This window comes from Homo sapiens, chromosome 1, assembly GCF_000001405.40.
Source record: "Homo sapiens chromosome 1, GRCh38.p14 Primary Assembly".
Classification (NCBI taxonomy): Eukaryota; Metazoa; Chordata; class Mammalia; order Primates; family Hominidae; genus Homo; species Homo sapiens.
The window spans coordinates 33,119,299-33,140,772 of NC_000001.11; the positions used below are offsets into that span (position 1 = coordinate 33,119,299).

The 21,474-nt window shown below is 47.9% G+C and overlaps 2 protein-coding genes across 25 annotated transcripts in view, besides 5 other annotated features; both read left to right on the forward strand.

Moving 5' to 3' along the window:
* Positions 1-21,474, forward strand: part of AZIN2 (antizyme inhibitor 2) — an 85,643-nt gene that overhangs the window by 38,146 nt on the left and 26,023 nt on the right. For 20 of the 24 annotated variants that reach the window (NR_146648.2, NR_146649.2, NM_001350399.2 and 17 more), the window contains one exon: positions 746-4,194. The exons of 2 other annotated variants lie outside the window; for them this stretch is intronic. Coding sequence is in view for 20 of the 22 variants with exons in the window: in NM_001350399.2 (NP_001337328.1) it covers positions 746-884 (139 nt within the window). In the remaining 2 variants the exon portion in view is untranslated. Of the gene's footprint in view, positions 1-745; positions 4,195-21,474 lie in introns of those variants that run through there. 2 more of the 24 variants (NM_001350402.1, NM_001301825.1) reach the window with 1 other exon arrangement.
* Positions 7,516-8,715: an enhancer, noted in NCBI's record as "BRD4-independent group 4 enhancer chr1:33592415-33593614 (GRCh37/hg19 assembly coordinates)". NCBI's record gives its function as "activates an origin of replication core promoter dependent on BRD2, P300/CBP, MED14 and CDK7 cofactors, and independent of BRD4, by STARR-seq in HCT116 cells {active_cell/tissue: HCT116}" and the evidence as "EXISTENCE:reporter gene assay evidence [ECO:0000049][PMID:35650434]".
* Positions 7,782-8,285: an enhancer, noted in NCBI's record as "H3K27ac hESC enhancer chr1:33592681-33593184 (GRCh37/hg19 assembly coordinates)". NCBI's record gives its function as "activates a minimal SCP1, AML or CMV promoter by ChIP-STARR-seq in naive H9 embryonic stem cells {active_cell/tissue: H9 hESC(naive)}" and the evidence as "EXISTENCE:reporter gene assay evidence [ECO:0000049][PMID:30033119]".
* The window catches only part of ZNF362 (zinc finger protein 362), a 173,198-nt gene continuing 159,947 nt past the window's right edge, over positions 8,224-21,474 (forward strand). Inside the window, exon 1 of the mRNA XM_047447108.1 lies at positions 8,224-9,151. The gene's annotated coding sequence lies outside the window, so the exon portion shown is untranslated. The remainder of the gene's footprint in view (positions 9,152-21,474) is intronic.
* Positions 8,243-8,662: an enhancer, noted in NCBI's record as "active region_707". NCBI's record gives its function as "activates an Ori minimal core promoter by ATAC-STARR-seq in GM12878 lymphoblastoid cells {active_cell/tissue: GM12878}" and the evidence as "EXISTENCE:reporter gene assay evidence [ECO:0000049][PMID:35858748]".
* Positions 11,233-11,312: a silencer, noted in NCBI's record as "silent region_616". NCBI's record gives its function as "represses an Ori minimal core promoter by ATAC-STARR-seq in GM12878 lymphoblastoid cells {active_cell/tissue: GM12878}" and the evidence as "EXISTENCE:reporter gene assay evidence [ECO:0000049][PMID:35858748]".
* Positions 20,628-21,227: an enhancer, noted in NCBI's record as "H3K27ac-H3K4me1 hESC enhancer chr1:33605527-33606126 (GRCh37/hg19 assembly coordinates)". NCBI's record gives its function as "activates a minimal SCP1, AML or CMV promoter by ChIP-STARR-seq in primed H9 embryonic stem cells {active_cell/tissue: H9 hESC(primed)}" and the evidence as "EXISTENCE:reporter gene assay evidence [ECO:0000049][PMID:30033119]".

Consider the following 21,474-nt stretch of genomic DNA (forward strand, 5'->3'; position numbering starts at 1 on the left):
CTGGCAGCTCAAGGGCAGGGATTTGTTTTTTGGAAAGATGAATCTGGGTCCTGGCTGAGAACTGTCTGGAGAGGGCACGAGCAGATCAGGGAGACTGAAATGGTGTTACCCATGGGGATGGAGACCATGGGGCACATGAGGATGTTCAGAAGCTGGGCTCAGCAGGGCTCAACTGGGTGTGGGAACAAGATTGCCAACTGTTTACAACTCTGATAGTGGAGCCATTGATCAACATGGGTATGTAGGAGGAGAAGCAGTTTGTGGGATTGTTTGAGAGAATGGGATATGATTTTATTTGAAGTCCCAAGCCTGGGGTATGATGAATGTGGGCTTTCGAGTGAGAGTTGGGTTCAGTCCTAGTTCTACTACCTACTAGGGATGTGATCTTAGGTAGGTCACTTCTCTCTCTGGGGAACTGATTGATTACATCATCAATGCAACGGGGATGGTAATGCCTCCCTCATGGGGTTTTTGGGAAGATACAAATAGATAATATAAGTGCCTGGCATGATGTCTGGCATGTAGTAAATGCTCGATACATGTGGATTTCTTTCCCTTGTTGAGGGGTGGGGACCACACGGGAGTAGGAAGCAGTTGGGGAGGGGTCAGCAGCCTGTCCCTGCCCCTGCCCTCAGCTGAGCTCGGGCTCACGTGAGAGCCCTCTGCCCAATGGGGCTGCGTCTCCAGGTACAGGGCCCTGCCAGTCCCATGCTGGCTACTTGCAGCACCCCTCTCTCACCCCTAGGGAAGCGCTGCGAAGGCAGCTGATGGCTGCAGAACAGGAGGATGACGTGGAGGGTGTGTGCAAGCCTCTGTCCTGCGGCTGGGAGATCACAGACACCCTGTGCGTGGGCCCTGTCTTCACCCCAGCGAGCATCATGTGAGTGGGCCTCGTTCCCCCCGGAGAATCCCAGCGGGGCCTCAGAGATGCATCTGGGAGAGGTGGGGAAGATGGCAGGCAAGGGTACCCTTGGCCAGGACTCTGGTGCCCACCCTGCCACCCCCGCGCTCCACCTGCAGTGTTTCTGCCCTGTAAATAGGACCAGTCTTACACTCGCTGTAGTTCAAGTATGCAACATAAATCCTGTTCCTTCCAGCTGTGTCTGCCTCCTCTGCAGTGCAAGGGGCCTGGTCAGCCAGGTGTGGGGGTGTTCTTGGGGTCTCCTTTGGTCTCCTTCCCACCTTTGTAAATATAATGCAAATAAATAAATATTTAGGTTTTTAAAAACTGCAGCGGAATCTGGCAGTTTGATTCACAAAGCAGCCTGGGCTAGGCCTGGGGCAGGATTTCCCCATCACTCACTGATGAGCCCACACCCTCTGCTTTAGTCCTGAGCCCTGGCTGCAGCGTGTGCCTCCCCCACTAGTACTCACCTTATCTGACTCATCTCTCTCCTCCTCATGGGCCTCCAGGCCTGGTGCCATAAGGAAGGGGCTGCTGTCAGGGACTGAGATGGGCAGTTACGTAGCTCATAACTGGTGAATGGCCTTTGGGTCAGCCCAACACCCAGCTTAAGGCCTGGCCCAGAGTAGGGGCAATGGAGTATTTAACACAGCTGTGGAAATTCATACTGAAGATACAGAGCCAAGAAATGGGTGTGTGGGAGGTTTTGAGTGGACCCTGCACCCTTGCTCTCCCTGCAGGTTGGCAAGGCAGTCAGAGTAAAGCAGACACCTGGTGGTCGCTTTTGCTTCTTTGGGCAGTGCCTGTTAGAACAGGGCTGGCCACGGAGTATTGCTGTGTCCAGTGCCGACAGCCCTGGCATCCCCTGAGACTGGCAGTGCTTATCAGGACAAAGGCTCCTTCACACTGCCGGGTTCCCAAATTATGCCCCGGGGTGTGTGAGCTGTTGAGCAAAGGAGTTCAGATTTTAGAGTCCCCCTCAGTGGCTGCAGGGGACTCTAAATATTTTTCTGCTGCAATTAAAAGATTTGAGATGTAATTCATATGCAATCATCAAATTCACCCTTTTAAATGCAGAAGCCTGGGTGCAGTGGCTCACACCTGTAATCCCAGCACTTTGGGAGGCTGAGGCAGGTGATCACCTGAGGTCAGGAGTTCGAGACCAGCCTGGCCAACATGGCAAAACCCCGTCTCTACTAAAAATACAAAAATTAGCCAGGTGTGGTGGTATGTGCCTGTAATTCCAGCTACTCAGGAGGCTGAGGCAGGAGAATCACTTGAACAGGGAGGTGGAGGTCGCAGTGAGCCGAGGTTGCAGTGAGCCGAGATTGCACCACTGCACTCCAGCCTGGGCGACTGAGCGAGACCCTGCCTCAAATAAAGAAATAAATAAATAAAGTGGAGAAGTTAGTGGTTTCTGGTGTATTCAGAGTTGTGTAACCATCACCCTAGAAAGAAATCCCATACCCATTAGCAGTCACTCTCCATTTTTCCCATTCCCCAGTCCCTGATGACACAAATCTACCTTCCATCTCTATGGATTTGCTTATTCTGGACATTGTATTGTGATGGATTTTCTATCTTCACTTGAGCTTCTCTCTAGGTAAGCCTGACCATCCTGCTTCAGTATCTCAGCCAGTCCTGGTGGGAACTGTACGTGGCTTTGAGGTCATCTCATGAGGCAATGTGGCATGGGTTTGGAGTGAACGAGGTGCTTTCTCAAAGCCAGGGGTGTCTCCCTTTTCCAGGTGGGATCTAGTTTTCGGTATCTTGACAATAAATAGGCTGAAAGCTTGGGACATCAAAAGACTCAGGGCAATCAGAAAGGGTTACTCTACTACCCCGTGATCCATCAAAGCCACGATTTACAGGTATTACCATGCCAGTAATTGTCTATCAGACTCTGAGACTTCTTCCATCTCAGATCTCCAAGCACTCATACTTCTTTTGCGGAGAGGGACATAGGTTTTCTGCTGGAACCAGGCATCTGCTGTGAAAAGCGCAGGAATCCTGGGAAGATCTCATGGCTGGCTACAGTGAGACCCAGGTGTAGCTGATTCCCTCTTCTGAGCAAGTCCACTGAGGGGGCATTCTGTGGCTTTTGAAATGACAGTGGCTGTCATGGAGTTTGGATGGATTTCTCACTGGAGCCTTTCTAGTGTTTCATGTTCCATTTGCAGCAAGGATGTGAAATTTACTTTTCCAAGAAAGATACACGCAGAACTTGATGTGGCTTACTTGAGGATAATAGTTAATAGTCATTTTTTCCCAGTTATTTGTTTTTGTTTCTTATTTCAATCTTTTTCTAAAGAGAAGAAAAAAGCCTGAAATGTGGAGAATGGTAAGGGGCTTCAGGCTTGTGCAGGCGAATCTAAGCAGGGGTCTCCTGGACCCCTGGCTGCATGGGCACTGCCTCCTCCAAGCTCCCTGCTGAGCGACCCACTGGCAGTGGCTCCTCATGCCTCCTGGCTGCCTTGGAAGTCAGATGTTCCTGTTGGCCTATCACAGACCCATCCTTCCCTGGGGCATCACCTGAGGAACATCCTCTTCCCAATGCCTCCCTACAACCCACCTGTGCCTCCTGAAGCCCCTCCTGCGCGCACACTCACTCTCTCTCATTCTCTCCTTCAAGGAGTTAACAGATCTGAGCTTCCATCTTCTCATACTCAGGACTGGCCCCTTCTTCCCCTTTCCCCTCCACAGTCCATCCTCCACTCAGCAGCCAGATGCCGTACCTCCTGGGATTCCGTTTCACCAAGAATGAAATTTAAAGTCCTTGGCCAGCTGGCTCTCTGACTCCCACACTTCCCTCTCACGCACTGGGTCCTGGCCACACTGGCCTCCCCTCTGTTCTTCAAACACTCCACTGCTGGGCATGCATTTACTGTCCCCTCTCTAGAATGATCTTCCTGGGTTATCTGTGGGCCTCACTCACTTCATTCAGGTTCTGTGCAAATGTTTTCTTTAGGTGAAGCCTTCTGGATCACCCTTTAGAAAATAGCATGTCCTAGTCTCTCTCTTTTCTCTTAACTAGTTTTCTTTTTCTTCATAGTACCTACCACCACTCAACATACTCTATAACATAACTCCATAATGTGTTCCATAACACAAGGGCAACTGTCAGCCCTTCTAGAATGTGAGCTCTAGGCTCTTGGAATAAACCTGATTTATTTTTTCACTGCTGTGTCCTTATTACCTAGAACGGAGTAGGTGTTCAAAAAGTATATGCTGGATGGGCAAATGAATAAACATGTCTGAATCTGTCTGAATAAACATGCTCTTAACCTGTCTGAATCTGTTTACTCATTTGTACAATGTGGCTGATAACTTTATTTCCCTCAGAGGGTTATTGTGAAGATTAAATAAGAAAATGGGTATAAGGCCAGCTGTGGTGGCTCATGCCTGTAATCCTAGCACTTCGGGAGGCCAAGGCTGGTGGATCACGAGGTCAGGAGTTTGAGACCACCCTGGCCAACATGGTGAAACTCCATCTCTACTAAAGATACAAAAAATTGGCAAGGAGCGGTGGCTTACGCCTATAATTCTAGTACTTTGGGAGGCCAAGGCAGGCGGATCACGAGGTCAGGAGTTTGAGACCAGCCTGGCCAAAACAGTGAAACCCCGTCTCTACTAAAAATACAAAAAATTAGCTGGGTGTGGTGGCGGCACCTGTAATCCTGGCTACTTGGGAGGCTGAGGCAGGAGAATCACTTGAACTGGAAGGTGGAGGTTGTAGTGAGCTGAGATCACACCACTACACTCCAGCCCGGATGACAGTGTGAGACTCCATCTCAAAAAAAAAAGATACAAAAAATTAGCCAGGCATGGTGGCGTGCACCTCTAATCCCAGCTACTTGTGAGGCTGAGACAGGAGAATCACTTGAACCTGGGAGGCGGAGGTTGCATTGAGCCGAGATCCTGCCATTGCACTCCAGCCTAGGCGACAGGGCAAGACTCCATCTCAAAAAAATAAACAATAAAAAATAAAAAAAGAAAATGGGTATAAAGTACTTAGTCCAGGACTTAGCACTCCTCTGAGTTCTCAGGGAGCTCACAGTGCAGCATGGTCACAGAGGACCTTGAATTACAAAGCCAGGAGTTTGAACTTAATTCTGTAGGCAGTAGGGAGCCCGCTATGCTTCTGGAGCAGAAGAAGCACGTCAGGATCTTTGGGAAGATTAATTGAAAGTGTATTCAAAATAAAAAAAAGAAAAAAAAGTATACTCAAAAGGGGTGGAGGGAGGAGACCTTCAGGGCTGGTAGTGGCATGTACTTCCTTCACCTCTGCCCACAGTCTGAAAGGCAGACCCAGTCAGGAAACTTTTTTTTTTATTATACTTTAAGTTCTAGGGTACATGTGCACAACGTGCAGGTTTGTTACATATGTATACATGTGCCATGTTGGTGTGCTGCACCCATTAACTCATCATTTACATTAGGTATATCTTCTAATGCTATCCCTCCCCCGTCCCCCAACCCCACGACAGGCCTCGGTGTGTGGTGTTCCCCAACCTGTGTCCAAGTGCTCTCATTGTTCAATTCCCACCTATGAGTGAGAACATGCAGTATTTGGTTTTTTGTTCTTGTGATAGTTTGCTCAGAATGATGGTTTCCAGTTTCATCCATGTCCCTACAAAGGACAGGAACTCATCCTTTTTTATGGCTGCATAGTATTCCATGGTGTATATGTGCCACATTTTCTTAATCCAGTCTATCATTGATGGACATTTGGGTTGGTTCCAAGTCTTTGCTATTGTGAACAGTGCCACAATAAACATACGTGTGCATGCATCTTTATAGCAGCATGATTTATAATCCTTTGGGTATATACCCAGTAATGGGATCCAACCAGGAAACTTTGAGGAGGTCAGAGAGACGCAAGTTGTCAACTCTGTTCACCCCAGCTCAGAGGGAGATGGTGGCTCTCTGGGTGGGAGTCATCTCTCACCTAGGAAACCCACCTGCCCAAGCCATCTCATTCCAGCTGTAAAGGGAACAAAGGGGAGGCAAGAGGACAGGGGTTCCACTCATCCCTTTGCTCCATTTTAAACCCTCTTCCTGGCACCTTTAGGTAAACAGCTAAGCCTGTGTAAATTCAACCAGTAAAATGATCTGATTGTCAGTCCTCTGCTGAAAGCCCTTCAGTTGATTTCCGCTGCGATGCCAAAAAAAGCTAAATTGCCTGAGACCCCTGCCCACCTCTCCCACCTCATCTCATGCCACTCTTTTCTCACATTTCAGTTTCTCACATTTACTGACTTCTTTCTTGCCTCCAAGTCTTCGCCTTTGCTGTTCCCTTAGCTACTCCAGCATTGGCTCATTCTCATCTTAAAGGCCTCGGCTTGAATGTTGCCATCTCAAGAAGGCCTTTTCCAAACATCCTGTTCAAAGTAGCCCCCACCAACTTATGTGGTCATATTTTACAGGGATGAGGCTCTAAAGACCATATTTAAGGCAAGAATCATATGGTCAAAATTATCATTGAAAATCCCTTAGAAAGCTATCATATTGGAATCTTGTTCATCACACGCCCTTTCCTTTCCTTTCCTTTCCTTTCCTGTAACATGCCAGACACACTTACAACCCCAAATCTCTGCATAGATCTCTCTCCCTCATCCCTTCAGGTCTTTGCTCAAATGTAATGTTCTCAGTGAGAACTTCCTGACTACCCACTTCAGGCTGGGAGTGACGGCTCATTCTTGTAATCCCAGCACTTTGGGAGGCTGAGGCAGGAGGATCACTTGAGCCCAGGAATTTGAGGCCAGCCTGGGCAACATAGTGAGATGCCATCTCTAAATCAAACAAACAAAAAAACTGTAACATTTCCATTCCTGCCCCAGCATTCTATAATCCCCTTCAGAGCCTTACTTTTTCCTCCATAGATCACTGTCTAACATATTATACATTTCACTTAGAATTAAGTTCTGAGGGCAAAGATTTGTTTATTTTGTTCACTGCTGGGTCCACAGTGCCTAGAATACTGTCCTTCATGTAGATGTTCAAGAAATTACTGAATGAAGGAATGAATCTTTCAGGCCTCAGCTTGGGTGTCTCTCTCCTTTCTCTTACTTTCTATTCCTTCATTAGGGGTTCCATCTCCGGGCTTTCATGCATCCTGTATTTGTCCCTATTAAAGAACTACTGATCACAATGTACTGTAGTTTTCCTCTCTAAATACTTGTCTTCCTGCGTATCTAATCCTATTGATTCCATAAAGACAGGGAGTGTTTCTCCTACTTTCTAGTGTGATCTGGAACCTAAGACTGTGCTTACCACAGAGTAGACACTTAGTGTCTTTTGAATAAACTAGTTTGGGTGGTGGTGGTGCGGTACCCCTGAATGGGAGTGGGGGATGTGGCTCCTTGTCAGCTCCTGAATAGGTCTAGATCCTGCACTAGGAAGACCATTGACTGGCATGAGCTGGGGGCCTTTAAAATAACCTCAGAATAGCACCTGGGAACAAGCCAGCTCCATACACTAGTGAGCCCCAGGCAGGGAGGCACGTAGGACCCCCCCAATAGCGCTTTCTGTTTTTCCACTCAGTTAGGTGACCTTGGGGTAGGATCGCCAAATAAAATACAGGACATCCAGATAAATTTGAATTCAGAAAAACAATGAGTAATTTTTTAGCATACGTGTCTCATTGCAATATTTGGGATAGTCTTATACTAAAGCATTACTCGTCGTTTACCTGAAATTCAACTTCAACTGGGCATCCTGCATTTTATTTGCTAAATATGGTAACCCTACTCTGGCAAGTCCCTGTACGCTGCATGTCCCTCTCTGGGTTTCGCTTTCTCCATCTGTGGAATGGGCACAGTTCTGTGAGACTTGCCTCAGGGATTCCTCAGGCTGAGCAAATACCCTCATGGATCGTCCCTTTGTCCTGGTGAGTCGTATGGGAAGCGCGCTTGTCTGAGGAGTTTTTCGCTGTGTAAATATGAGAAGCTCCTTCCTCCAAAAGCCTCCGTTTTCTCATCTGAGCATATGAGACTCTCAGAAGTGGAAACGATTGCCTGGCGGAACCATGACTGCTCAGCTTCCAGCCACCGGAACCCCCAGCTCACGGCCCCCATCCCTTGAAGCCACGGTCTTCCGGTAGCGTAAAGTCACTTCCGTATTCGAGAGCCTTCTAGGCTTCGAGCCACGCGATGTCGCGCCCTCTGGCGGCTGGGAGGAGGGACCGACTTTACCAAACGGTGAGAAGGAACAGGGAAGTCCATTGGTTGAAAGACGGAGAGGCGCAGCTCAGTCTTCCAACCTCAACCAATGTTAAACCGAACCTTCGCCGAGGGCGGGGCTCTCACGGGAAAGGGGTCAACCCGGGACTGAGGCGGCGTGGGAAGCGGGCGACCTTATCTCTGCTCAGCTGGAAAAAGGCCCAGGGTAACACCGGAAGTGGGCTTATTTGCGCATCAGCTACTTTCGCTTCTACTTAAAAACGGAGGATCTGGGTAAAAGAACCGAAAGGCTGTACGAACCTAAGACTTGTCTCCGATGTCCTTCTCAACCATCAATTTCATATGCGAGGGAAAACACCTGCTGGGTTCACGCAGAATATAAAGGTCTTTGAAATAATTCTTGATCTCTAGGCCAAGGAGTTTTACATTTTAAAATAATCAAGCGTGCCTACTGCTTGCCAGGCCCTGCTCTCGCCTTCACTCGCATTATTCAATTAATCGACACAGGCCTGTGCAGTGCGTCTTAATGACAAGGACTCCTACCCTCCACTGCCTGTGTTGGAATCCTGGTTCTGCCAGTTATTAGCTGTGTATCCTGGCCTAAGTTACTCTCTGCCACAGTTTCTGACTCTGTAAAATAGGATAATAGTATCTACCTTATACCATTATTCTAAAGATAAATAAATTTAACATATTTAGGTTGGGCACGGTAGCTCACACCTGTAATCCCAGCACTTTGGGAGGCCGAAGGTGGAAGGATTGTTTGAGCCCAGGAGTTCAAGACCAGCCCGGGTAAAATAGTGAAACTCCCCACCTCTCCAAAAAAAAAAAAAAAAAAAAATCAGCCAGGCGTGGTGGCAAGCACCTGCGGTCCCAGCTACTCTGGAGGCTGAGGTGGGAGGAGGATTGCTTGAGCCTGGGAGGTCGAGGCTTCAGTGAGCCGTGAGTGGGGCACTGCACTCCAGTTTGGGCAACAGAGTGAGACCTCGTCTCCAAAAGAACAAAAAATTTAACGTATTTAAAGCACTCAGAACAGCACCTGACACATGGTAACCACAGTAACCAGGTAAGTTATTTTCATTTACAAATTGAGAAATGAGGCTTACGTATGAAGTAACTTGTCTAGAACAGATAGCAACTAGTGGAGGCAGATTGGGAAAGTCTCTGCCTAATCTGAATCTCAATCACTATACCTGCCCCACCCTCTTCCTGTGTCTACAGGGAGCCTGTTATGATCCTAATTGCCTTTAAAGCATCAGATGTATTTATTTGGTAGCATCCTATTACAAAGTGGCTGCTCTCTGGGCATTTTTGTAATTTTAATGAAGTTGGTGAGGTCCTATAACTTGTCTCTCAGACCAGGGGCAAGGCTTCTGGGAGAAGTCAGAATGGATGGCTTCAAGATCCACCTCCTACTAAATCCTACTTATGGAAAAATCAGTAGAAATGAACTTCTGAACATGTTTCATTTGAGATCTTTTCAGATATCCAAGTGGAGATAATTGTGATTTGGTGTGGTAAGTGCTGTGTTAGTGGAAAGCACAGGGCACCAAGGGAGGTCTGATTAGGGATAGATAAAGCTGCCGGCCAGGATTAGGACAGGCGTGGCAAAAGCAGCAGGTCTTGGTGAATGAGTAGGAGTTGGCCAGGTAGAAAAGTCTGGGGAAGTTGAGGGGAGCATTCCAGACCAGGGCACTGGCGTGTACAAGGGAATGGTAGTTTGATGATTCAGAGCCCTTTCTGGGAACCGGAGTATAGGATGGAAGGTAAGAATGGAATGGAGATTGGGGGCATATTACGAAGAAGTGATCTAAGAAGACACTTCTTATCAACTAAGACAGACCCTAAGATTAAAGAAACCAAAGTTAAAGTTACTTATGGGTTGGGGGTTCATCATATCCCTCCTAACTCTGATTTACAACCCAAGACCACTACAACTCTGATTGGACAGAGGACCGGCCTTACAAACATTCTCTTCTGATAAGCAACTGCAGACCTTAAGCCAGTTTCACCAGCTGATAAAGGCGGTACACAGACTGTCTTTGGGTCCTGTGGTTCATCTTTTGATATAAAGAGTCAAATTCTACCTCATTTTAATGCTAAAATTCTGCCCCAAAGTGAGCATGGGATGAGTGTTACATATATGTTTACGCATTGTGCATGCACTCAGCTCCCCTCATAAATATATATAGTCTTCCCCCACAATCTGCTAAATATGTATGACTCTTTTGTGTAAATATGGACCTTGTGAGGCATAAAACCCAACCTGCTCCTTCCCTTCTCGAAGAGAAAACACATTTGGTCCACACTGGAGATTCTCTTCCTGGTTTGCAAACTAATATCACCGATAAAGCTCTCCTTTTCTACTATTTACCCATTCTGGTGATCTTTTGGACAATAAAGGGTGATGTTCCGAAGTATCAGCAAGTCATCAGAATTTCTGAGCGGGGGAGAGAGGAGGTCAGCTTTGCACATTATTTATTTATTTATTTTGAGACGGAGTTTTGCTTTTGTTGGTCAGGCTGGAGTGCAGTGGGGTCATCTTGGCTCACTGCAGCCTCTGCCTCCCGGGTTCAAGCGATTCTCCTGCCTCAGCCTCCCGAGTAGTTGGGATTACAGGCATGAGCCACCATGCCTGGCTAATTTTGTATTTTTAGTAGAGATGGGGTTTCACCATGTTGGTCAGGCTAGTCTCAAACTCCTGACCTCACGTGATCCACCTGCCTTGGCCTCCCAAAGTGCTGGGATTACAGGTATGAACCACTGCACCTGGCCGTAGCTTTGCACTTTAGATGGTGCACTAGGAGGCAAGGAAGAGGATGCGGTAGGCAGTCTCTGAGTTGTCCTTAATGATTTCACATCCCAGTATTCACACCCTGGTGTGATTTCCTCCCGTTGAGTATGGATGGAATTTATTGATTCCATTCTAATGAATAGAATATGTTAGAAGTGACGGGTTGTCATTTCTGAGATTCGATTACAAAAACTCCCTGTGGCTTCTGTTTTGGGCACCTTCTCTTGCTCTCTTGCTCACTTGCTCTTAGGGAACACAGCAGCCATCTTGTGAACTGCCCTGTGGGTAGGTCTATGTGTCAAAGAACAGATGACTAATCAACGGCTAGCAAGGACTTGAGGACTTCTAACAGCTGTGAGTGAGCTTGAAAGTAGATCCTCCCCCAGGCAAGCCTTAGAATGACTGCAGCCCCAGCCAACACCTGATTGCAGCCATGTGAGAGGCCCTAAGCCAGAGGACCCAGTTAAGCCATACCCAGGTTCTTGACCCTCAGAAAGGGAGATAAGTAATATTCGTGGTTTTAAGTTTTACCTAATTTTAAGGTAATTTGTTAGGCAGCAATAGATAACTAATACAGAGGGATTAGAAGCAAAGACAGAAGTAGAGAAATTAGGAGAGGGTGGTGGTTGTAGGCCATCTCTCTAATAATGAGAACCTGAATTGTGCAGTGGCTGTGCAGGTGAAGAGCAGAAGATGAATTTGAGATATGTCTGGAAAAAGAACAGAAGACATTTGGCAATGGAGTTGGATGTGGGAAGGAGGGATAAGGCAGAGGAGAGAGCAATGCCAGTGTTTGGTAATGTGAGGGATGGTATTTGCTAGAGCTGCCAGCATGCAGGTCACTGGGGATGAGTTTTAAAAGTGGCTCCTTGAGATTTCTGGCAACAACAAGATAGATCAACAAAGCAGACTCAAGGTTGGTCAAAGAAAACAGCCACTGTGAGCTGGGGAAGAAATAATGCAGAAAAATAGAATCAAGGAAGAGCTGGAGGGAATTCTCTTTCCTGAGTTTGATTTACTTGTCAAAGTGTATGGTATACCATTCTCCTCTTCATCTAGCCATTCTCTCCACAAATGTTTACTAAGTGCTTTCTCTGTGCTAGGCACTGGGGACAAACAAGTAAACACACAAGTCCCTGCCTTCATACTGTTCATAACTTGGTTGCAGAGAAACAGTAAGATTGAGGCTAGGACTTTTTAGCCACTCCTGCAGGGCTCTGAGGGTCTAAATCTGTGCTGTCTGTTATGTTAGCCACCGGCTTCCTGTGGCTATGAGACACTTGAAATGTGGCCAGTCCAAATTGAATGTGTTATAAGTGTAAAATACACCCTAGATTTCAAAGATGTAGTTCAAAAGAAAAGATTGTAAACGATTTCAATAATTTTTAAATATTGAATATTGATTTTAGTATTATCATTGGATAACATTTTGTATGTTTAAAAGAAATAAAATAAATAATTAAAATATATTAAATTAATTTCACACATTTCTTTTTAAATTAGTGAAATTAATTTAAATAATAGATTTTACTTATTTTGGCTATTAGAAAATTTAACAGCCAAAATATGGCTATTAGGAAATTTAAAATTATCTATTAAATATACCTCACATTATATTTATGTTGGACCTCACTGACTAAATCTGTATTCCCTACCAACTTTATCTCTCTCAGTGACTTTAATTTTAGTTAATGAAAGGTTTGTTTTTTTTTCATTGAAAGTAACAGAAACCTTGAGGGGAAATGAAAATTAAATGTTAGGGGAATTGATTGCAAGGGCCTTCTGAATCAAGGCATGGTTGATTGAGCAGTCTGGGCAAGGAGCAGGCTCGAGGGGCCTTCGCAGCAGAGCTTCACAGGCATTAATGTGACCGGGCTCCATTTTTGAATTTGACATCCCACATTCCAATTTCTGAGAAGACAGACTCTGATCAGCTCAGTTTAAATCAGGGTGTATCTACTCTGGATCCAGCTGCTACGGCTATGGGAAGAACGCACTGTGAGCTGCCTACTGCTTTTTTCCCACCCTTACCCTCCAGCCACTATGTTCCCTAAAAGGCAGCGTGAGCTCTCCAGTCTCTAGGGGTCAGCAAACCTTTTCTGTCAAGGGCCAGATAGTCAATACTTCTTTTGCTTTGTAATTCTTAGTGTTTCTTTTGCAACTACTTCATTCTGCCCTGCAGAGCAAAAGCTGCCAGAGACAATACATAAGTGATTGGACATGGCTGTGTTTCAGTGAAACTTCATTTCCAAAACCAAGAGGTGGGCCATAGTTTGTCAACCCCTAAACTGTACTTTCTGTTCCCTCTGCCTGGACTATCCTTTCACTCCTTCCTTCCAGCAAGTGCCTAGTCATCCTTCTGGTCTCAGTTCAGATGCCACTTCTTGGAGGCTCCCCCTAACCTTCCTCTCCTGACTGGTTAGTTGCTCCTTCTCTATGCTCCCACAGACCCCTGTATCCCATACATGCACTTCTCATACTCTGTTGTCATTGTTCTTTTCTAACCACTGGCTTACTAATTCTGGGTCTCATTTGTTATAAACTCACCACCTGGCACTCCTGGCACATGGCACGCACTTGAGTGTCATTGGATGAGTGGAAGAAACCATGAACCTTGTGGTTGACACATAGTCAGACTAGATGTCCTGAGATCTTGGGTAGTGATGAGAATTCTGGGCTTTTAAAATTAGCGGCATGAGAGGCACCTCCTGTAACTCCAATACTTCAGAAAAGCATGGGGGAATGTTTTAAGATGGGAGAAGTGGAAAATTCTAAGGGCTGCAAGCCCTGGATAATGTGATAAGCCACACCTCAGCTGGGGTGAAACCAGGAGTGCACTCCTTGGAGGAGGCTTTGTGCTCCTTGGTAAGGTTCCCTGCGGAGGCCCCATCAGGCCCAGTGGGTCAGGAGAGAGACACTGTGGGGTCGAGGGCAGCCTTGGCCCATAGTCACTTACAGTTACAGTTACAGGGCAGCAGAATGGACCTTCCTTGACCCAAGGGCTTGGTGAGTAACATTCAACAGATCCTGGACAAGGGCAACGGAGGCTGTGAGGCCAAAGACAGTGCTCATGGCCTCTGCGAGGCTTTATCCAGCTAAGCACATTGTCCCTGTCGCCTCAAGAGAGGAAGGAGAGTTTCTCTTTTTAATGTCACTCTTAAATGTCACACCTTTGGGCAATACAGATCTGATAGGGCCTTTCCTGGGTGTTTTGCACAATAAGACCAAGAGTAAAAGAGCAGTGGATCTTCCCTGTCATCGTGGACCTTGAATGGCTTACCTGGGCCCCTCATGGGGATGGTGGGCTGGGGCAGGTGACCTGGGACCACCGGCGGCACGTTTTCCATTTATACAGCTGATGACCAGCAGAGTGGATGAGGAGAGCAGGGCCGGGATGGTGATCACTGCAGCTTGCAAGCCACCCATGCCTGGCCAAAGGGATGGGGCATCAGGGCACTGCAGCTTGTAAGCCACCCACGTCTGGCCAAAGAGATGGGGTGTTAGGGCAAGGGCAGTGGACTGCTCCCCCAGGGCAGGCTGTGCTTCTGGCCCTCAGCAGCCTTGGCCCACACAACACTGGGCTCCCACGACACGGAGGAGGCATGGTGCAGAGAAAAAGCAGGCTGAGAGGCAAAGATTGAGTGACCTTGGGCAAGTGGCCAATTGTTCTTCCCCTAGTGTTTGGCACTTAGAAGGTGCTGGGTACTTGCTTGTGGACCCAAAGGGAGAGATGTGATCCTAATACCACCAGATGCTTTACATGCCTTATCTTACTCAACCTGGCGAGCTGCCTCTGCTGTTACCACTTACCAGCTGGTGAAGCTGTGATGCCAAGGCTGGCTTCTCTGAGGCTAAAACGTTTATAAGGGGCAGAGGCAGGATTTGAACCCAGATCCGCATGTTGCCAGGCCTTCATGCTATCCATGTGCTTCCCCACAAGCATGCTCTGAACACTTACCGTGGGCCAGGCATGTGGCCCAGCCCCGTAAGACACCACCTGGCACGTGGCAGTCCCTCAATAAATTTTAGCTGTCATTAGGCATTACTGTTATTTCGACTCATTTGATCCTCACAGCAACCCAGCAAGGGTAGGTATTTTTGTTCCTATTTTCCAGATGGGAAATCTGAGGCTATCGTGGTGAAGTGTCTGGCCTAAGGTCCACAGCTGGTTAAGTGGCAGGGCCAAGAATTAAGTGCAGGTGGACTCTTTTCCCATGTTAGCTAAGGCGCTTAGGTAGCAGAGGAATCCAATAATACTGCCTCTGTTTATTTAGTTGAAGAATGGGAAGGAGTCATTGGAAAAGGAGTAAATGGAGGGCCTTTAAAGGACTATCCTATGGAAAGGAGGGGGTCAGAAGACAGAGCTAGGACCACCAGAGACACAAGGGGACCCATGGAAAGAAAGACCTCCTAATCCGGTAGTAGGATGGGCTGCTGCACAGATAGTGAGCTCCCTGGCACCAGACATGTTTACGCAGGGAAGCTGTGGCATGGGAGACTGCAGGAATTTTCTCTTGGTGCTAGGAGTACATGCGGGTCTCTGGGTTCTTGGCCCACAGCAGCTGCCAGCTTGCTGCGCCTGCCCTCTCTGGGACTCTGAGAAATAGGGGAGCGAGGATGAGTTGTCAGCTCTGAAACAGTCCTGTGCTCCCAGGAGAAATCCCTGGCTCCTCATTTCTTCCGTCTTCTACTTCCTCTTCCATCCCACCCCTGGCCTCAGCCTCACCAGCCTTGCTGCTTTCCCGCTGGGTTCCCTCCCTGCCTCCAGCTGTGTTTCACTCCACATAAATATGACCACCCTCCTTCCCTGATTAAAACCATTCATGGATCTGGGCGCCGTGGCTCATGCCTATAATCCCAGCACTTTGGGAGCCGATGTGGGTGGATCACCTGAGTCAGGAGTTTTAAGACCAGCCTGGCCAACATGGTGAAACCCCGTCTCTACTAAAAATACAAAAAAAATTTAGCCGGGCATGGTGGCACGTGCCTGTAATCCCAGCTATTTGGGAGGCTGAGACAGGAGAATCACTTGAACCTTGAAGCGAGGTTGCAGTGAGCTGAGATGGCGCCACTGCACTCCTGCCTGGGTGACAGAGCAAGACTCTCTCAAAAACAAACAAACAAACAAACAAACCAAACAAAAACAACCCAGGTCCGCATGCTGCCAGGCCTTCACGCTATTCATGTGCTTCCCCACAAGCAAGCTCTGAACACTTACCATGAGCCAGACATGTGGCCCACCCCAGTAAGAGACCACCTGGCACGTGGCAGTCCCTCAATAAATTCTAGCTGTCGTTAGGCATTACTATTATTTCGACTCATTTCATTCTCACAGCAACCCAGCAAGGCTTCTCTGTTGCCCTCAGGATGGCCCACAGCCCATTGCTTTGCCCTTGGTCTCACATTGGATCCTCAGCCACACAGCCTCATTGCCAGCCTCCTGTCCCTCAAACATGCTGTTCCTCCTTCCTGGACAACTTTGCCCAGCACTTACTCAGCATGCAGGTCTCAGCTTCAGCAGAACCTCCTCCAGGAGGAACCTCTTCTCTTGAGTTCCTGAGAGCCTCTCTTGTTCTCCTGAGTCCTCAACCTATGTGCTATCTTTGCCTGGTCACCATCAGCTCTTTGATATAGACCTGGGATGCGGCTGTTGTTGCCTATCTCAGTGCCTAGCAAGCTGTAGGAATTGTTGGGTAAGCGATTGAATGAGGGAGTGAGGGAGTGAAGAGCACAGTGAGGGGTCCCCAGGCCCAGCCCTCCCTCCCCACCCTGCCGGTAATGTATTTCTTTCTTTGGGACTTGCCCAAAGCCAATACTTGTCTGGACTGAGCTGGGGAAGGTGGACCCAAGCTTGTCTGAGCAAACATGGCCTTCTCTTCTTGACTGCCCCCATCCCTGTTCAGTTCTGGGCATTTGACTCCAGCCCAGGGGCCAGCCCTTCCTTCCTTCCTTCCTTCCTTCCTTCCTTCCTTCCTTCCTTCCTTCCTTCCTTCCTTCCCTCCCTCTCTCCCTCCCTCCATTCTCCCTTTCTCCCTTCCTTCCCTCCTTTCTTTCTCTTTCTTTTCCTTTCTCTCTTTCTTTTTCTTTCTCTCTTTCTTTCTCTCTTCCTTTCCTTTCTTTCTTTTTCTTTCTTTCTTTCTTTTTCTTTCTTTCCTTCCTTCCTTCCTTCTTTCTCTCTCTCTCTGTCTTTCTTTCTTTCTTCCTTTCTTTCTTGATAGTGCCTCGCCATCACCCAGGCTGGAGTGCAGTGGCACAATCTTGGCTCACTGCAATCTCTGCCTCCCAGGCTCAAGCAATTCTCATGCCTCAGCCTACCGAGTAGCTGGGACTACAGGTGCATGCCACCACACCTAGCTAATTTTTTGTATTTTTAGTAGAGACAGGGTTTCGCCATGTTGGGCAGGCTGGTCTTGAACTCCTGGCCTCAAGTGATCCTCCTGCTTCAGCCTCCCAAAGTGCTGGGATTACAGGCCTGAGCCACTGCGCCTGGCCCCAGGGGCTGTTTCCGGTTCCCCAACAACTGTCTATGAAAATCAGCCAGGCCGGGCACGGTGGCTCACGCCCGTAATCCCAGCACTTTGGGAGGCCGAGGCAGGTGGATCAGAGGTCAGGAGTCCGAGACCAGCCTGGCCAATATGGTGAAACCCTGTCTCTACTAAAAATACAAAAATTAGCTGGGCGTGGTGGTGCGTGCTTGTAGTCCCAGCTGCTTGGGAGGCTGAGACAGGATAATTGCTTGAACCCAGGAGGCAGAGGTTGCAGTGAGCTGAGATCACATCACTGCACTCCAGCCTGGGCGACAGAGCAAGACTCAGTCTCCAAAAAAAAAAAAAGAAAAGAAAATCAGCCAGTGCTTGTTGGGAGTGGGGGAGTGACGGTTGGCCAGGAGACACAGAGCCTGGGTTCACCCAGCTGTGCCATGAACTTGCTATGTGACCCTGAGGAAAACATCTCTTCTGTTTGGCCTCAGTTTCCTTAACTGTAGCAAGGGAAGAATGATCCCTACACCCATCACAGGGTAGTATGGGGACTGGAGGCTAATAAGGAGCACAGGTTTGGGAGTCACACAGCCCTGGGTTCAAATGTGAGCTCTGCCACGTAAGCAGAAAGTCATCTTAACTCTCTGGACCTTGTGTTCTTATCAGTAAAAAGAGGATAAAAATGGTATCTCCTCTTATGCTTGTTGTGAGGATTAAATGAGAGGACAGCCCATAATAATTATTATGTTAATGATATTTCAAACCAGACCTGGTCTATAATTGGATTCAACTAATCATGAGGCGTACAGGGACTTTGAGAGAAAACAGAGCATTTGAAAACATGGATTCCAGTTGGGTTTTAGAGTTTCAGAGCTGGGAAGGTGGCTTAGAAACCACCTGGCTATATTTCCCCTTGTATAATTGGTAAGAAGACTGAGATCCCCAGAGGGGGGATCTTGCCCAACATCACACTTAACCACACTATTTGGCTAGTAAATTCCTTGGGCAGAGTATGGGCTTGGGCTGGGAAGCTGGGTATTTGCTTTGGGAACCAGAAAACTTTCAAGTGGCTCAGCACCCTCCTTGGCCCACCTCTGATACCTACCTGCCCCTGTCCCTTCCTCAGTCTCATCATTCTGAGGGAAAGCTGGCCACGGTACAAGGGCAAGAGGCACTGTCGCTTGCCCAACTTGAGTCCAGAGGGCTTCCCTTGCCTCACAGTCAGGACCACCCAGGCCCCCACCTCCATCCTCCCCACCTTGGGTCTTGGGTTGGCAGCAGAGCCGAGGAGCTGAGGGTCCAGGGAGGTGGCAGGGGAAAGGGGTGGGCTTCTACTTACTGCACCGGTAGGTGGCGCCGGAGAAGTTGCAGGGGGACTGCATAACCATCAGTGGGGTGCTGGGATTTCAGCTCAGGGGAGGTGGAGGAGGCAAGTGCTCAGGGACTTCTCAGGGCATTTTATTCCTGAAAGGGAGCCAGTAGGCAGAGGTTACACCCTGGAGCAAGAGCGTTCTGGGCATCTGCTGCGGCAGGTTCCCTACTCAGAATGGGGGTTAGGAAAAGTAGGCTTCTAAGGTGGCCCTGAGGTCACACAGCATACTAAACTGATGCTGTAGACTAACATGGAATAACAATCTTTTATTAAGTGGAAAAAAACAGGTTATGGAACAATAGGCAAAGTGGTTTGATTTACGTAGAATAGACTCACGTAGAAAAAAGGCTGGTCTAGGTGCAGTGGTTCATGCCTGTAATCCCAACACTTTAAGAAGCTGAGTGGAGAGGTTGCTTGAGACCAGGAGTTCAAGATGAGCCTAGGCAACATAGCGAGACCCTGTCTCTGCAAAATTTCTTTTTAAATTAGCACGCCCAATAATAGTCCTAGCTAGTTGGGAGGCTGAGGCACTGTGATCGTGCCACTGCATTCCAGTCTGGGTGACAGAGCGAGATCCTGTCTCAACAACAACAACAACAAAAAAAAAAAAAAAAAAAGAAAAGGAAAGAAAGACTGTAAACCTTATCCTCAAAATGCTAGCAGCAGTTATCTCTGGACAGTGGCTGATGGATGATTTTTTTCCTTTGTGTCTTGTGTATTTTCCAAATTTTCCATAATGAGCATGTTACAAGAAAATAAAACGACCCAGGAAAGCAACACATTTTAAATGAGAAAATCTTTTGACCAATAATTTCATTTGTAGGAGCCTGAGGAGCCCGAGGTCCAGGGAGGTGGCAGGGGAAAGGGTTGGGCTTCTACTTACACCACAGAACACATAGAAAGATGGACAGTATGTGAAAGATGATCATATTTGTGTAAAAGAAAATGACATTTGTTTATGTGTAAGCAAAAATGCCTGCAAGACTCGCACTGACTGTTAATAGCTGCTGACTTCTGGGACTGGGGAAGAAGGAGAATGAGAATTTCTACTGTGTTTATTTTCATTTTTTAAAATGAGCACAAGTTATGTTATAATTTGTTAAAAAAGCAAACAAATAACTTTCCTAGTCTCTGCCTCTTTTCCCTGGCTCTCCCTGCACAAAATCTAGGTGTCGGGGGAATGATCAGTGAGGGTCGCTCTGGGGGCTCAGCATCATCAGGGAGGGGTTATCTCTGGTCTGTAAGTTCCCTCCCATCTTGGAGATGGGGTAGTTTCAAAATTACAGCTTGACATTAGCTACTTTTCAGCCAGAAAACATTTTCTGACATTCTCTCTGCACCCAGCATGCAAAACCATAGGACAGGATCCCCATCTTGAGATGCTCATGCCTAGTGGCAGTGGGAGACCCAGAGTCCTTCTTGGAAAGCCCAGGGTCAGTGAATCTCCTGGACCTGGATGACTGACACAGCCTGCCTTGAGTGGGACATGAAGGATGAGTAAGATTTCAACAGTAAGGAAAAGGAGGGCATTAGGTAGGGGGAAGAGTACTCCAAAAGCAGATTCATTAAGGCCAAAAATATGCTTATCATTCTCCACGTGGGATCATAAAGGTCCACATGTCTGATTCTAACATTATATGCATAGGTTGTTTTCCTCCTGCAGAGGAAGCCCCTGCAAACAGAAAGGCTGTGGTGCGTGGCCATTAGCCTGTATTGGGCTGCTGGTGGGGAGGGCTGAGTGCTGAGGATGGGGGCAAGAGTGGGACAGATCAGCTGGAAAGACAGGAGCCACCAGCAGCTGCTGTAGAGCTGCCATATGGTGTCATGAGAAGTCCCCTATCTCTTTCTATCCTCCCCATAATCTTTCCTCTGCTGCTTGTCAGGGTTTCTAAGATCCCACCATCAGCTACTCTTCCGGGAGTGGTTCCTATTATAAATGTGCATAGGTTGTAGACAGGGAGACATCTTAAACAGTAAGCCAGTTAACCTGAGGAACACCGGAGGGTAAATTTTGATGGAGGAATGAAAGAAGTGGGGAAGGACTTTCCAGGAGTGTGGCAGAGGGGGGTCCCTAAGAGGAAAGAGGGGAGAGAGGGGTACCAATGGACAAACTCCAGGAAGCTGCCTCAGGCTAGAACCTTTGCCTGTCCCTCTTGTTCAGCCGATGAGGAACAGGGATGCTTACGGTGGCGATGAAGGAGCTGTCCAGGGTCATTGGTGAGTCAGAGACGGAGCTGGGGTTTACCCAGGTCTCGACTCACAGCCCCACCCTGGTGAGAGGCACAAACCTCCAGCCTGTCTGCTTTTTTTGGTGACCTTTCAGGTCCCATATCTGCTTCTCCCTTCTCCCAGTGGCAAGAACAGTGCTGCTGGGCCCCAGGACCTCGCTTCTGATTGGCAGATCTGGCAGCTTGGTCAGGGAGGGCCTTTGACCTGCGGTATGTGGTAAGCAGAGGAAGCAGGCACAGGGGCTCAGCCTGCAGGGAGTGAGGGGGCAAGAGCCTCTTTTCTGGGGAAAAAGACTTCAAAACATTCAAACCACCTGATATCCCAGGGCTTTCTCTAGTGCCATGAAATCAGGGAACCCCCTTGGGCCATCAGTCCCAATGCTTTCACTTACCTGGGACTCCCTGCAGCTCCAGCAGCTGCCTGGGCTGGGCTTTGTCCTTGCTGTGGCTGGTGCTAGCTCTGAACTCTGTTGCCAGCAAAGGAGGACCAGGTGTGGGCAGGTATGAAGTGGCTCT